The following is a 17,879-nucleotide window of genomic DNA, read 5'->3' on the forward strand; positions in this document are numbered from 1 at the left end:
TGCCTGAGAACTTTTCTATTAAACTCATCTATTTGTGAGGAACAAGGATAGGGACTACTCACTTTATAGATTAATATGTGTTAACAATTTATTGAATGCTACTTCTATTCCTATTATGGGGCAAAAAGCTTTATTTCATTTATTTTTCATCCCAGACATCTAGAGTAGTTCCTGACACATAAAAGCCATTCAATAAGTGGTTGTTTTTAAATTACTCACATGATAGAATATTCACTTTTTTGGTAGAGTAAATATTTATTATAAGTATTAAAAGAGAGCTGTATATGTTCTTCCTTCTATAAAGGAGTAGTTAAATAAAAATGTAGGCAAGAAAAACAAAATACCGTACCTAGAAACTCTACAAAGAAAAATATACTGCTGCTTTGCTAATAGAATTGACTCATCAAGTGCTATTTGCAACCTGCTTGTATTTATCACATAAGGTTTAATTTTACACAGCTAAAAGAACTGAGAAGTATTTCTTCTTTTCACTTTTTAAGAGCTAATAAAGTTTGCATTACAGGGATTAAGAAACCTGGCTGACCATTAGAATGACAAATTTTATCATAAAATTATGCAGATTCTGAAATGCGCAATATCTTAAGCCTTTAAAACTACTGTAAGAAATCTCCTGTGTGTTTTTATTGGTTTCTCTGGGAAAGTTATCACAAGAGGGCTGTAATTAAATGGTGGTGTTTGGTATCACTGCCCGCGTTCTCTTGCGTAACAGTTTTAGGGGCTCCCTACATAGGTAAGTTAACTGGCTAGCGAAATGAGAAAAAAAAAATAGACAAATACAGTTATTTTTCATCTCTCCAAAAATTTTTGAAGTACTACCTGGGTTAACCTACCTAATTATCATTATAAACTATATAAACAAAACCACACTCTCTTTTTACTAGACAGGTGGTATTTTTCTTTCAAGATTTTGGCAGTAACTGTGACAATTTGTTTGATTCCTTTTAGTGCCAAGTGCCCCGCCTCAGAACGTCTCCCTGGAAGTGGTCAATTCAAGAGTAAGTTGGCTAAATGTTCACTACTCCATTACCTATCAAGATTACCTATCATGTATAACCTTCACTCACCCAACTGCTGTCTTGAGTACAGGATAGTGGCTTCCATGTGCAGAAATGTTCTGGAACAACACAGCAAGTGACATTGATCCCACATCCTCTTCCATCAGACTTAAGTAAATTAAATGAAATATTTGTCTACTTCTAAACAAATATTTTGATTTACAAATATTAAACAAACATTGATTTTGTGAATGTTTTAGTGGCCAAAGGCTATTCCATAAGGAAACAAAGACATCTGCTTCGTCTATATTCACCAGTCTATCATATAGCAATGATGATGTGCTAGATGAGGAAATTGAAATAATTAGGAGAAAGAAAGACTGTTTCCTAACACATTACTTAGAATTGAATATTTCGTCATCATCCCCATTCTTCCTTTATAAATGTAGTCATTGAAGGCCATTCTTGAACTTCAATACAGTTATATTTATGTAGCGATGTTACCTAGTTGTTAGAACTTTCCTGGCCTGGAATGTTGCTATGACTTCCAAAGGAGCTCAACTTAGGCTAGTATTGCTGAAGTAGCCTAATGCCAGAGGTCAGTTTTCTAGAAACATGTCATTATTTCAAGTGACTCAGGGTTGGAAATAAGCCAAGGCCACCTAGTAGAGTATAACAAATGAGGATTCACCTGGTTTGACCCTGTCACCACCTGGCCACTATGCTTGGACCTCCAGTTAGGTACTTCTCATGTGAGGAAATTGGCCTAAATGATTTCTAAGCTCTGGGAGACAGCAGAGAAATGATACAGGTCTTAGAAAAAGTCATACTCTGGGTTTTAAATCTAGCTTTCTCTTTTCATAACTATTTGGTCTTAGCAAAGTTTTCAACCTTAGCAAACCTCTTTCTATGTTTAAGTATCCTAAGAATTACTATCTTCCTTATTGACTTATCATGAGAAAGTAATAGTAAAATGTATGCGATGAATCTGACTTGATAGTGATTCCTTCATTCCATGTGCAAATGCCTTGTCATATTTTGTAAAAAATCTATGAGGAAGCCATATCTTGTGATGTTAATTGGATTTGTCTCAGTCAAATGAATTTATCTTTTGAAGCAAGTGAATGCATTATTCTCTTATACTTTTAGGCAATATGTTGGATAAGAACTATTAAAGCAAACATAAAATTAGAAGAAAATAACTAAACTTAGTGGAAAAAATGAGCTAAAGGAAAATAATCAAAAATTAACATAACCCTACAAATGACATTTTTATCTGCAACAACACTGCTTTAGAGATGTGCCACTTAAATTAAGAGATTGCCAAGTCAAAGTCAAGTAGATTTTTACAATTATTGTATGTTGTTAATGAATGAAATTTGGAAAACATATTGTAATGTCTCTTGTTTAACAATTCATCATTGTTAGAATCCTCACTCACTTTATGTTTTTCCTCCAGGACAGAATATAGAAATTGATATACAAGCTATTTTGTGTTTGTGTGTTCATACCCTTTAAGAGTGTACTCCAGGAAAAGATGAATGTTTTCACTTGAAACGTGTATAGGGCATTACTGAATGACCCTGGATGCTAACTGTATTTGAATATGGATGTACTTTACTGAAGACGGAATTCCTGGATTGCAAAATTGACTATATATATTATACACACACACACACACACACACACACACACACACACACATATGTATATACACACACACACACACACACACACAAATATCACAGCTTCTACTCTTCTCTAATTTGCTTGCTTGCAGCAAGCAAATACAAACACTTCTACTTCTATCCTCTTGTAGTTGATATCTGGAACATTGCACTGCTAGAAAGTTTAAATTGTTCATTCGCTTTTCAGAATGAAAATACTATGCCCAGGCACTGGAAAGTCACACTCCCTCTCTCCTTTTTCTCTCTCTGATCTTATTTCATAGCTTCTAAGAAATTATGAATTATAAATTTTTATATCAGACTGTTTTCAAGAGAAAAGAAACTGGATGATCAAAACACCACTTTTTGCATTCTCAGTGTATTGATTCAGACAAAGGCAAATGTAATATTCTATTTTGATATTTGTGTTTTATTTGAAATAGATGAAAAGTTTTAAAATATATTAATATTTACCCCTGACTGTGACCATTTCAAGGGGCAAACTGTATTTAAAAAGAAACATTATAGTTGAATAAATAATGTGTTCTTTTTTAATACTAACAGAATTCCAGGGTGTTTTTATTTTTTTTATTCTTTAGAGACAAGGTCTTTCTTTGTTGCCCAGGTTGGAGTGCAGTGACACAACCATGACTTACTGCAATCTTGGACTCTTAGGCTCAAGTGATCCTCTTGACTCAGACTCTAGCATAGCTGGTACTACAGGCATGCAACCACCATGACTGACTAATTTATTTTTGTGTTTTTTGAAAGACAGGGTCTCATTATGTTCCCTAGGCTGGTATCAAAGTCCTGACCTCAAGCTATCCTCCCACCTTGGTCTCACAAAGTGCTGAGATTACAGGCATGAGTGACCATGCTCAATTCATGAATTTTTTACGTAATTTATTTTACTTGGGATTTTAAGATGGAAGAGAACACACTTTGAAAACGTATTCTATATCATATTTGTAAATATAGAGCACAATTGATTTTTTTATTGATAGTAAATGAAATAACTTGGTGCAACTAACATTTTTGCAGAAAGATTATTAGGATCTCTGTACATAAAACTGAGGGGTTGTTATAAGACATATGATCACAATCTAGGTACTCGTTAAGGTTTTGGTCACCCGTAAGCCAGTTGGACCCAGAAATCATGTTCCATAATAATTAAGCAGAGAAGTCTTTACACATCTAGATAATGAAACTAAGAACAAAATTCTCTTACTGTATCATTCTTGAAAACCCAGTATGGTAGAATATTTTTACAAAGCTGTAATAGCAGAACAGATTAGATTCCTTTTCTACAAGCTAACTATGAACACAAGTTTTTTGTTGTACTAATGGCTTGACTTACACATGTTACATGTCAGGTGAAACTGGGTCATAGTGAGGTGGTTATTTCTCATACTAAAATTTTGTTACAAGAAATAGTATCTTTTCCAGAAAAAGATAATGGTTTATGAAATGGACTTTAAAATGTTACGTTTTATTAGGAAAACTTTTTATAAGAATAATTTCCTTAAGAATTTAATTTGAAATTCAATTATTATTCAATTATTATTGATTCAGTTATTATATATTTCAAATACATACTACAACTTAATTAGTTGGCTGGAACATAAAGGATACATTTACAGAATGCAGAGAGCTAATGTTGGGGCACAAATATTAATACTTCCCTATGTTTCAATCTAAAAGTTCTGATGAGTAATAATGTTTAGAGGATGATAGAATTCAAGTTGCTTGGGTCCTTTTATTAACTCTTTGAACCTGTGAAAAGTCACGTGTCTCAGTTTTATTTATTCAACACTTACTCTGTACCTGTTTTAATGTCATACATAATAAGGAATGTGATCTAGAATTTGCCTTCATGCAGCTCACAGTTGGGTAGGAAAACGTGAAAGAACATTCACTGTTCCTCTAGCCACTTTAATCTGTTGAACCTTTCAAAGTTGACATTATTTTCTCATTTTAAAATGAGAGAGCTGGATAGAGAATCTCTAAAATCTCCTGTGGCTTCAAACATCTGTGCCTGTGTTTCTAACCATTATACCTTTTCTCAACCATTTTACTGTTAAAGAATTAGCGAAAACACAAATCAATTTCAGTATACCAGTCAACTCACTAGTTCAGATATATATTGACTGAGCACTACAGAGTGATTGCAAGGAATGAAGTATTAACTCCCCTTTCCCCCCAAAACCCCAGTATATTATGAGGCATAGATCATTGTTCAGATTTAAATTTTTAAATGCAAATTGATGGATTCCTCTCATTATATCACCTCACACCTCTCTGCTGTTGAAATCCTTATTCTTGAACACCAGATGCATCTATGTGAATGTCTTTTTGTTGCATTCCTAAAAGCTGGTACTCAGTCACTCACAATCTGATATTGTACATGGTGCCTTCAAAGCAACCGAAGAAAAAGTTTCTAGTGCCTTCCTACGTCTTAAAGTGTCTCACTCTCCCTTGTTTCAGCACAACTTGGCATGCTTAAATAACTCAAGCCTGAGTTCAGCAATCATATGATTTCCTTTATGCAAAAACTATACAGTAGGAGAACAGCAAGTTTCTACTCTGCAAAGCAAACTGATCATTTTTAACAGATATTTTAACATTCTTTGTGTGTGTTTGTGTGTAACAAGACAGAGGAAATCTAAGTGTATTATGGGATAACTGCAGAAGGACATGCTTTTGAGGATGTGGTGCAACTTGTTGGATTTTGATGGAAGTCTCTATACCCTGTCATTGGGCTGGTGTTGCTTCTCTTATTAGCCAAGTCCATAGCCAAGTGGGTGGCTGAGTGAGTCATTTGCATATGACTCCTAGTGGGAAGGGAGGAGATGGGGAAAAGCTGGAGGCAAGGAAAAAATGTGAGTTATGATATTAAATTGCAGATCCTCTGTGTCTGGGGTATGTGTATGTGTGTATTCAGTTTTGTTTTGTTTTTTTCTGAAATTGGGGTTATCTTCTCTTGGTTATTCAGAAGGGGTTTCAGTTCACACACCTCCCTGCTGCGTGACAATCTCTCTGAAAACATACTTTTAGAAAAGGGGTCTGGACCCACTTCTCTGCTTTCACCATTCTTCTAGTCAACGTTCATTTCTCTCCTGTATGTTGTATGGAGTCATAGGCCTCAGGCAGCCCATGGAAAAACATGCTTCTTCATGTCTCCCTAAGTCCTTTATAAAATACACTTTGGCTGCTGAGTTCCTGGACCCAGAGCTCTGAGCCCTCTCCTCACAAATGTAGTAGGTTTAAAAAATGGATTTAGTGAAGAGAAAGAGGATATATATGAGACTGCAGATGATTGTATTTATTTAAAGATAAACTAGAACCAGCATTTGCTTATTAATGAACAATTTAAATACAACAATGTTGACTCTCACAAGCTTAACAATGACACTTGTCCTCAATCATAACACAGAGCATTTCTGCCTGAGCATAGTATTTGCCCTAGTTATCCATCCATTTAATTCAAGTAGGTGTAGATCTCTTATATTTATTTTAGTTATTGATTCCTTCATCTATTCATTACATGGTGATTTTTAAGCATAGATAATGTCCAGGGGCCTATGATTGAAAGTTTTAGGAAGGGTGGGGAGTAGGAGCATAATTGTAAGGAAGGCAATATTTCCTGGGGGCTCTTACAGTCTAGTCTTTCTGTTTGGAATTTGTAGGAAAGACTAGACTGGATATAAATGATTATATTACATAAGAATCAGATAATTTGTAAGAATCTGTGAGACTCCCTTAAGGATAAGATTGTGTTTGGTCTATAATTTGGGTAGAACTCATCTTCAGATCTCTTCCATCCTGTCTTTTTACTTAATAGATCCTTTTTTATTGTGGTGAAACAACTTTATATAAAATTTACCATTTTTTAATTTAATTTAATTTTTTAAATTAAATACAAATTTAAGCATTTGTAAATGTGCAGTTTAAATGTGGTAAGTACATTCACATTGTTGTACATCTATCACCAGCTTCCATCTCTAGAATATTTTCCATCTTCCCAAACTAAAACTTAGTATCTATTCACCAGTAAGTCCCCATTTCCCCACACAGTCATAGATGTTTGAAGCCACGAGATTTTAGACATTCTCTATCCAGCCGTCTCATTTTATCAATGAGAAAATAATGTCAACTTTGAAAGGCTGCAACAGATTAAGTGTGGCTAGATGAAAAGTGAACGTTCTTTCACATGTTTTCTTACCCAACTGTGAGCTCCATGAAGGCAAATTCTGGATCACATTCCTTATGTGGGAATGTGAGAGAAAATGGGGAGTTATTGGTGAATAGATACTAAGTTTTAGTTTGGGAAGATGAGTTCTACCCAATTACAGAATCCCTGGCAACGACTATTTTACTTTTTGTATCCCAACTTACTTTATAAATGAGCAAAGAAACCAATTCATAAAAAAATTAATTTCCCTTTTGCTTCATTTAATTGAGAAATAAAACAGTTTTCCATTTTTAGATCCCCTTTCTTATAGAGAAATGAAAAACTTAATGAATCAGTGGTCAAGAATACAGACAGATGCTTTAATTGGCTAGGAAGAGATGCCTCACTTCCCATTATTGTCAGTGCTTTCAGAATACTTCTGTTCCAAAATTCCACATTTATAAATTGTTTTTAGAAAATCTGCTGAAAAAGCCAACTGTCATATTTAATAAGAGGAAACCAGAAACATAAACATAGGATTGTTCCAAAGAAACTGTAAAAGACATAATTTTGTCTCATATTCCATCAGAATTTAGACCAGAGCTCCTGACCAGTTGCTAAATTGATTCTTAGACTTTTTTTGAAGTTCCAAAAACTCAACAGTTTACGTCTTTTTTCAGTGAAATTACAGTCAATGAATAAAGATCAACCATGAATTAGAGGAATAATAAAATAGTAAATTATTGGATAACTAGTTTTTAAACAACATAAATGCATCATTCCAACTTAACTGCTTTCTGTAATTAAGTTGAATAAAAGAATACTCTGCAAATTTGCAAATTCAAAGCATATCTTTGTATTACACTATCACTCATTTTCTCAGAGCAGCCCTTCCTAAAGTCTATTTGAGAGAATACTTACCTTTTTCTTTTTTCTTTTTCTTTTTTCTTTTTTTTTTTTTTTTTTTGAAATGGAGTCTTGCTCTGTCACCCAGGCTGCAGTGCAGTGGTGTGATCTCAGCTCACTGCAACCTCTGCCTTCTGGGTTCAAGCAATTCTTCTGTCTCAGCCTCCTGAGTAGCTGGGACTACAGGCGTGTGCCACCATGCCTGGCTAATTTTTTACTTTTTTTTAGTAGAGACGGGGTTTCACCATATTGTCCAGGCTGGTCTTGAATTCCTGACCTCGTGATCTGCCCGCCTCGGCCTCCCAAAATGCTAAGATTACAGGCGTGAACCACCACGCCCGGCCTATGGTACTTTCCCAAGAAACAAGGTTGCTATGGCTTAAAAAATTGTGAGAAATATGTGAGGTTTCCTATTGGAGATATTAAAGGCTATGAGAAGTATTTGTTTAACTCAGCTTTTTTACCAATTGTTTTTTCTACAAAAACATTTTAGATGAAATACAGCCTTTAAAACTCTGTCAAAGTTACTTAATGTCATTGTAACATTACAAATGAGAACAATGTACTCCATAAATTGAAGAACCTCATCTTCCTCCAAAAATACCTTCTTATCTCAATTAATTTAAAATAATAATATATATTAAGTGAAAAAATAAATTTATGGAAAGCAGAAGTGAATCAAGGAATAGTTATAAAGGACATTTATGCATAACTAGAATAGGATATTGAGAACCTTCTGTGACATCTGTTAGAAGATTTGAATAAGTTAGAGACATGATTAAATCTCCATGTCAATATGAATTTTTATTAATGTAAATAGGACTTAGGAAAACATTTTCTAGACTTTTCTCATCTTTCATATTTCATATACATAAAATACATCATTTTTCTGTTGTGTTTTGAGAATGTTATATTTTTGTCTTTTCCAATTTATTGCAGTCACTGCCATTGAGTATACTTGCACAAAGGATTTTGACAAAAAGAGATTAAAATATATGATAGAATACCATTCTCTTTTGAGTTCTAGCCTCACTTTAATATTACCTTATAATTTATACTTCATCACACACATTTCTAATGGCTCCATTTCTGCTTGGCTCTGAAGGCAAAGCTCACTTTAGCCTTTCCATGAAGTTTAATGAGATTTCCCTCAAGTCATACATTTTTGAAAAGTGGGAGGTTTAATAATGGGCTTAAATTAAATGAACCTAGGTCTAGTGATAAGGTCTCTGATTTTAATTTAGTTCATGGAAGTTGCCCTTATAGTTGGAATGGTTGATTAGTTAGAAGACATGAATAAGTTCAGCCCTACCAGTAGGTAAAAGCAGTTGCTAACTATGTGATTTGATTTTAAAGATGTTGAACCATTCACCCATGTGCAAAAACTTTATTCAGTAGTATAGTTTTGAATGTTATTTATATTATAAAACAACTTTTAAAATGCAAGCACTTTATTGAAAGATTTAACACATTAACACGAGCTATTTTAGTCAATATTCTAGACACACATTCAATGAATACCTAATTATAACTGTAATAATGGCAGTAACCTTTCCCAAAGGTATTTTGTGCCTGGCAATGTGCTAAGCAATGAAAGCAGAATTTCATTTATTGCTTTTAATAATCCTATAAGATATTATAAAACTAATTCTGAAATACCAATTTTGAACTGTGCTTGTTGCTGGAAAGGCTATAACAAAAGCAATCAAATGCCTTCTTTTCTAGAGCTTACTTATATTCTAATACATGGAAATAGACTAATAAACAAATTAACAATTGACACAAGGGAGTGGTAAGTTCTGTGAAGAAAATCAAGAACAGTCATGCGATAGAATTTGAGGACCTCATTTAAATCAGATTGTCAGGGAAGGAACTCTTAAGGAGATGAGCTGAGGCGTGAATAGAAAAGGATCAGCTTTGTGCACACTCAGAGTAACATATTTCAAGTGATGCCAACAACTAGGGCAAAAGCAGTAAGGAGGGAACTATCTTTGCATGACTGTGAAGCTGAAATGAGAATAGAATAGAAGACGGATTGCTGGGTTCCGGCCAGATCTGGCGGGGCTTTGTAGGGTGTGATAAAAGTTGGGATTTCATTCTATGGACAATGAAAAGCATATTGAAAGGAGAGTAATCAGATTCACCTTTTTTAAGAATTACACTGACTACTGTGGGAAAATTATCAGGGGGTGGAACGTAGAGGAAGCAGGAAGACCAGTTCAGAGACAACCAAGTGCTCCATGTGAGATCATGTAGCAGGAACCTAGGAGTCATAGGAGGTGATGGAGAGGGAAGTAGAAACAATCAGGGTCTGTGCTGGATCTAGAGCCAACAAAATTGGTTATTGGATTATAGGGCAGAAGGCAGAGCAAGATCAAGGATATAGAGTAGATTTTTGGCTATAAAATGTAAGCAGATTGTGGAGCTACTTAATGAGATAAGATTTGGTTTAGGGGACAATCACTTTTGGACATTTTGAATTCGAGATAGCTATTAAATATACAATTAGGAATGTCAATCATGTAGACAAGTTGGTATATGATAATAGTTCTGATGACAGGTCATGCCAGGAGATATAAATTTAGGAGTCACTGTCATATTGATAACACTTAGGGAGAGACTACAGTTAGAAAAAATATGGCAGAAATTTGGAATACTTAACATTTAGAGATTGGGCAGATGAGGAGGAATATGACAGGGATAAAAAGAGGAAGGGTGATTTCACAGATGTCATGGTGGGGAAGAATGTTTCCAAAGGGTGGGAGCTGTTAACTATGTCATATACTAATGAGAGATACAGTAAATCATGTCAGTAAGGTGACCACTGTGGGAGGGAGATATGACATTCGAGAGAGAGTATGAAGGGATTAAGTAGAGTGACTATAGATTATATTTGTGAGGAGTTTTGCTCTGAAGTGGAGTGAAGAGATGGATAGTGCCTTTAGGAGGTGGTAGGCTTGAGGGAGGTGTTATTGTTTGTTTCATTTATTTTTGTTGTTTCATTTTTGAACATGAGAGATAACCACAACTTTTAGAAATAAAGCAGTAAAAGAGACACAGCAATGATGCAGAAGAGAGAATAGAAAATTGCAGGAATGCAATCCTTTGAGGAGGCAAGAACACACAGGATCCAGTATACAAATGAATGGGCACAGACAATTGAATCTTGGTAAGTTGAGCAAAGGCAGAGAGAACAGGTCTGGATGCTGATATATTAGTCAATTTGAGCTGCAGAGACGATAAGTGTAAGTAAAGGTCATCAGAGTATGAAGGCTTGGAGGAACAAGTATTGAGGATTTCAAAACAGGGAAAAAGGTGGAAAATGGTTATCTCAGATTGTAGAAAAGAAGTCATAATATACATGACATTATGATTGCTGAGTACTGTGGACTGACCATTTGAGACTGGTTGTCATGAATTTAAAGTGAAACTAACCAACACAATCATGTTTGTTTTTCTCCCCATGGTTGATTGCTCAGTTGCTGGCTTGGGGTAGGCAGATAGCTGGGTTTTATTCAGTTTGATGTTTTTCCAGGGAAGAACGGGTCAGGGGGATTAATAGTTTTTGCAAAGGAGTGATTAAAAAGAAAACCCATGGATCTAAGCTACCTATGGAAGAAAAAAATGGGCATGGGGCAGAGTGGTGATGGATAACAGAAAAATAGTAAGGCCAGTGGGCTGCATTATTATCCCAATTTTACAGAGAGAACACTGAGGCTTAGAGAGATGAGATAATATGCCCCAGTGTCACACAGAGAAGGGCTGAGTAGCAGCACAGGGACTTGAGCCCCAGCCAGGGCTGTTGGTCATTTGGACACAATGTTTCGGATAGGGCCCAATGCTAAGGGAAGGGATGCAAATCAGAATACAAAAATAAGCCTTGCATTCAAGTGGCTTAGGTTCTCAGTGGGAATTTTTCCCAGACAAAGGTAAGGTCTAGATCAGCAGCTAGGAGACATCAGAACTGTTGGTGGAAACTGAAAGTTTTGGTTCTAAAATGTGCTGAGAAAGGAGAGCTAGAAGAGGAACCAAAATAACACATTTCCCTGACTTTTCGGTTTTTTTCCTGTAGTGAACCTACATGGAAGATTCTGTACCTCAAGCTATGTATTTCTCCCCATGGGACTTAAAAAGCACATCAGCGGGACAGCAGGTTTTTAAGAGAGCACAACTGATACCTCAATAAACTTCAGTAGACAACCTTAAAAACTTAGGGTATTTTTGAATGTAATTCTGACTTTTCTTCAATTCCAAGTTATATAATATATTTGTTATTAAAAGTTTTAAATGGGAAAATTGAGATCCACTGAAAAGGGCCTTACCTCATCCCTCAAGGGTTGTTGGCCAAAAAAACAAACAAACAAAACAAAAAACAAACAAAAAAGCCGACCTCTGATTATTTAGCAACAGAGTTCTGCAACCATTAGGAAATTTGTATTAAATTCAGAGAAAATGCAAGTCATAAAACTGAGCATACATTTTATAATCAGTCATTATTAACTTAAATAGTAAATAAAACTAAACCAAATATATATTAGTTAAGTATAGAATAGATGTCAGATAATAGTGTAACTGTGTGTGTGTGTGTGTGTGTATATATATATATATTTTTTTTTTTTTTTTTTTGAGGCAGAGTCTCGCTCTGTCACCCAGGGTGGAGTGCAGTGGTGTGATCTTGACTCAGTGCAACCTCTGCCTCCTGGGTTCAAGTGATTCTCCTGCCTTAGCCTCCCGAGTAGCTGGAATACAGGTGAGTGCCACCACCCTAGCTAATTTTTTGTATTTTTAATAGAGATGGGTTTTCACCATGTTAGCTAGGAAGGTCTCAATCTACTGACCTCGTGATCTGCCACCTCGGCCTCCCATAGTGCTGGGATTACAGGTGTGAGCCACCATGTCTGGCCAATCTGAGTATATTTTAAGATATAACTTCTTTAGATACTAAACTGAATCTGATATATTTTTATCTGGAAGTTATTTTAGTTTAATCTCATCAAATGTCCACCAGCATCATACAATCTTAATATATGTACTCAATAACACTCAACAATGAAACCCACTTATTTCATTTATTATGTTGTTCTTTCACATAGAAAATGATAGCCTCCATTAGTTTTCCAAAGCTGTTCAAAACATTACCCAGTCTACTGGAAAACTCTATGTAAAACTGACAGAATCTAAGAGCATCATCTTCACGTTTCCCTAGCATTTTGTATAAAGTGTATGTTGCATACAAATGGATTTGTCAGATACATTGAGAAGTATGTTAATAGTAGGAAAAAGAAAGTATTAAGGAACAATTCTGTATCTTCAGAAAATTAACTTAAGAACATATTATGTATCTAATCTTAATGCAACTGGTGGAAATTACCGTGTCTTCTACAAATAACTTTGTTCCAGGGTAAACAGTAAGAAATTTCACTTTCTTTTTTTTGTAGTAATGCAAGGTCCTCTTATCTAAACATTTCTCATCTTTCAGAGGAGTCTACTTGACAGACCATTTTGTGTTTTAGCTGAGAGGCAGTAGCTATTAACTAGATTGCTGTCTATTTTATTTTTATGTGGATAAAGTTGAAGAGACTCACACAAAAGGGATTTATATGTCAAGAAATGCCTTATACTAACTTTAAACAAAATTGATATCTTTTTAAAATATGAAGCTGACTGTAGATTTTTATCTTTTATGCATAGATAAGTCTAAATGTTGCAAAGAATATATATTTCCATGTCCATGACTACAGTATCAACATGTATTTCTCTAGAGATGCCTATATTTCAATATTTCCAAGTTGGGTTTTGTTTTCTTATACTTCAAAGAAAGGAAAATACATTTGTGTTTCTTTTCAATGCCAATACAGATAATTCCCTTGATGAAATCAAATATAATGGCATTTAAAGAAAACGTTGTTAGTAAAAAAATAAAAATAAAAAATAAAAAATCCAGATGCTCTCTTAATTTGGAAGGTTTATCAGAGAAAAGTCAATGAAGAATTTAAAGGTTATTTCCGTTACAATCTTGGATTATTTCTTTCATTAATTAGTTTGTTTGTTTAATGATAAATATTCATTGAATATATGCTGTGTAGGAGTCACTTTCTAAACACTTCAGCTCCGTAAGAGTCTTCCAAATTATTTGTCAGCCAAAAAACCTCAGCACTTCTATGAATGTCAGCAATCAGTGAGCAACTGGCATATGATAACACCTGGGCTTGCGTAGAGTTTCTGCTCTTCCATGGGGAATTAACTTCTCTACCTATGATAAAGGTAGCAGACACTTTCCCCTTGTCTGTCATTTAGAGAAGGTTGGGCATTTTCTGACTATACTTAACTTTGATAATAGTCAAGGATTTCGGGGTTTATGAGATAAGAGGTCTATGAAGCTGAACCTTGGAGAAAGGAAAAGTTGAGGGGCCCCAATTAAAGTTCTCAAACTTTAAGGAACATAACAATACCTTAAACCAGTTACTTGTTTAAAATGCCAAAGATTTTTCCCTATTCCCCTAACACACACTCTTCTAGTGCATTATTAGTTGCAGTGTTATCTGACATTTCTTCTATACTTAACTAATTTATGTTCAATTGTTTTATATTTCTTTATTATTTAAATTAATAATGCTTGGTTGAAAATGTATGTCCAGCATTATGACTTGTATTTTCTCTGAGTATAATATACATTTCCTAATGGTTCCAGACCACTGTTGCTACTTCTGATTCAGTAGGTCTTTAAGCCAGAAACTTAGTGTTTTCAAATTGTAGTCCAAATAGTATAAAGGGAGATGATCTACAGATCCCACTATAATAAAGTCTAATTAAATAAAAGGTTTCCACACTTTTGTAATGGAATAAAATCTTTTAAAAACAAAGATTTATGTGACATCCTGGTATAATATGCAAAGGCAAAGTTATGCAAAAACACAGATTGGTCTCCTTGGGATGAGGGTAATGGGGTACTGGAGCCAGGTTGTACTGTCTTGCAAGAATCAATTGTTAATGTTTTAAGAATTTTGTGAGCCCTATGTTAAACACAGCAATTATTAAAAATTCAGTTACATAGCCTTATAATTAAACAAATTATATTAAAGGCAAATGTATCAAATATGTTACATGTAACAGTTCCTCATTCTTTTACTACATTTTACTATTATCTATGCCCTTTAGGTTATTCATATCGTATCTGTGGGGTGAAAATACACATCTCCTCCCAGCTCTGTTTTCAGTGACATTATGCTGGCAGCTTGAAATTGGCCTTCTTCGGTGTATTTGCACCACAGAACTCAGCAAATGCTACAAATTAAAGATTTTTTCACCTACAGAGCCAGATTTTGAACATTTAATAGCTTACTTCTAGAGAAGGGCGGATGCTAGGATTGCCAGTTTCTAAGCATCTCTCTCAATTCCCTCTGTAGGCTCTAGGACACCACAGGAAAAAAAAATGTAGTTTAAAGAAAGGAAAAAAGCTGACTTAATTATATTGTGGCTGTGAACATGCAAAGGTAAAAAGAAGAAATCAAAAGAAAGGTCAAATTCTTTAGCATGAACACATACATCTTACAAATTTGGTTATGAGACTATAAGCCTTTATTTTCTTCCAATTCCTTGGAAAAATAACAATAGACTAGATCCAAATAATTATTCTACCTGGCTATCTTGTTTTGCAAGCTCCTTTACATGAAGATGATTACAAAGATGAGGCTGTATAATCTGTGTATAAGTATCTCCAGATTACATCTTTATTGTTTAGCTCAGAAAATGGTTCCTCCATCTTCATTGTTATTGATGAATGAGAGACACCTCTGCACCTTCTGTGAAATACAAGTGATCATCTTGCACAACAGTACCACATTTAGCATTTACTTTGGCAAATTTAATTATAGACATTTATCCTGCTTACTGTCTATAAACTATGCTTTTATCTGTAACACTAACATATAATTTGATATACCCCCAAAGTAGAAGAATTGCACAGTGCCTTTAATAATATCTTTGCAATGAATATAAATAATTTCATTAGTGATGGATTATTTCAGCCTTTCAAAAATGAAATGATCAGAATTTTTTAATGTTTGTTAGAAAACAAAGTTCTCTTTCCTTAAGGGACTCCAGCGTATCATTTTAAATAATAATGTGTATAGTCTTGTGTCTGTCATTCAGCTATTTATTCATGAATTTAATTTTCTTGATTCATTTAGTCAACAGCTATTATGTAACTATTGTTTAAAAATTAGATACTGATATTCCTTAAGAAGCCTTATTTTTAAATAATCTGAAATTTAAATCATCAAAGTAAGGTGTCTAAATTGTAGTATAATAGGCTAATTAGACCAGTTAGTAATTTTTTCCCTTACTTTGAATTATATGTAAAGGGAGCAAATGCTGGCCTTAAGAATTTTCACTTCAAAGTTATAAAGTATTTACAAATTCCATAGATGGAGATTCAATTTAGAATACTAGATGAAAACTGTGTTTCAATCATTCACCTGTATGATTGATTTTTCTCTATAGTTGATAGTAAATTCAGTGATTTTTTGGAAATATGTATGTGAAGGAAGGATGTAAGTCTGTGACATCATGCAGTTTGAAGTCTACTTTTCCTTGGGGTATTATGCAGATATGTAGATTTGCCTATTATTTTCTTTAATAAAATTGGTGTTTTTTTTTCTGAGACTATTTTCCAGGAATGTAGTTTTGATCTTAGAATTGATTTTTTCCTCCAGACTGAGGAGGACGCAGATGTCAAGAAGTTTCCTATGGGATATGGCTTGACAGAGGGACACACAACAGGAGTCGGAGGTTACAATAAGAAAATATACTTACTCTATGACATGTGGGTCTTGTAAGGAACTGACATTGATGGGAAGTGATGCTTTTTAGCCAAAGGAAGAAGTATCTATCATGCTGTCACATCAGATTCGGTTCAAACTAAGCAAACATTTGTGTTATGGTACTATTCTTGGGAAATATATTTCTGAATGTGCTCTTGGCTCTTTAGATGAAAAGTCATAAATGATCATAAAATACATAAAATGGTACCTGTCATAATAAGCAAATGATAAAATAAATTTATGCTTATTATAACTATCAACATCTGTATGTGTAAAATAGATAATAAAGCAAGTGTCTGAACAATGCAGCACATACTAGCTTCACCTAATGCAAGCAATCAGCTATTCTTTGCCTGTCTTTGCAGAAGATTGTGACCAATGATATAATGAGTTTGAGGAGGCTGTTTTTATGATTAATTCATAAATAAGTTAATCTAGACTTATTTCAGGTCTGGGTTTTACATTTGATGACTCATTTTCAGAGCCCAGAAAATAATATTTAAGGGAGTATTAATTGGATTGAAACTTTTAACTGTGTGGGTGTTACACAAATTCTATTTAATCCTCAGTGTGTTAGATTAATTTTCCAGTATTAACAATTTTAATTCATTCTACCTTTATCAGTCTTCAGCCTCTTCTTATCGCATGCACAACAGAAAAACAGAATCACCAAAAATGTATCTTTAGACTGTAATTCTTATTTTGCTGACTCAAAATATGTGCCAAAAGACTGATAAAAGTCTGATTTTCCAATAGTTCATTTGACGTTTGAGTCCTTTTACGTCATCTTCAAGCTCATGCTTGAACTTTTCTAATGACAGGGATATTTTTGTCTTTAAGCAACCATTTTTGTCATATGTAGGTCTAACTTTCAGAAATGTATATTCAAAGTTCTGTCCCTCTATAACGTCTGCTCATTTGTCATAATTGTTTCCCCTGGGACTATAAATACATCTCATGAGTTTAGTGACTTTCTCTTGCGGCATGACTTTTAATATTTGGGGATGTCTGTCAAGGGCCCCCCTCCCCCTTCTCTCCACCAATGCTTCTCTTCTCCAAGTAAAATATTCTTAGTTTCTACAAATATTTCTCTTTGCTTGTCAGCTCCCTACTTGACTTGTCATCCTCCTCTGCATAGTTGCAAATGTCATGTGACTATTAGACATCCCTTAAGAGTACCTCTCTCATCTTAAGCACAGCATTATTATTCAGATGTGCTACAATCACATTGATGTTGTGGGTGGTCACATTATCTTATGGACTTATTATGGATCTGATTTTCCATGAAAACCTATAA

At 34.4% G+C, this 17,879-nt stretch overlaps 1 protein-coding gene across 5 annotated transcripts in view; it reads left to right on the forward strand.

The window, feature by feature from the left end:
• The window catches only part of DCC (DCC netrin 1 receptor), a 1,195,703-nt gene that overhangs the window by 874,385 nt on the left and 303,439 nt on the right, over positions 1 to 17,879 (forward strand). For all 5 annotated transcript variants that reach the window (NM_005215.4, XM_017025568.2, XM_017025569.2 and 2 more), the window contains one exon: positions 967 to 1,016. In NM_005215.4, the coding sequence (NP_005206.2) occupies positions 967 to 1,016 (50 nt within the window). The remainder of the gene's footprint in view (positions 1 to 966; positions 1,017 to 17,879) is intronic.

The sequence above is a fragment of the Homo sapiens genome, chromosome 18, assembly GCF_000001405.40.
Source record: "Homo sapiens chromosome 18, GRCh38.p14 Primary Assembly".
NCBI classification, from domain to species: domain Eukaryota; kingdom Metazoa; phylum Chordata; class Mammalia; order Primates; family Hominidae; genus Homo; species Homo sapiens.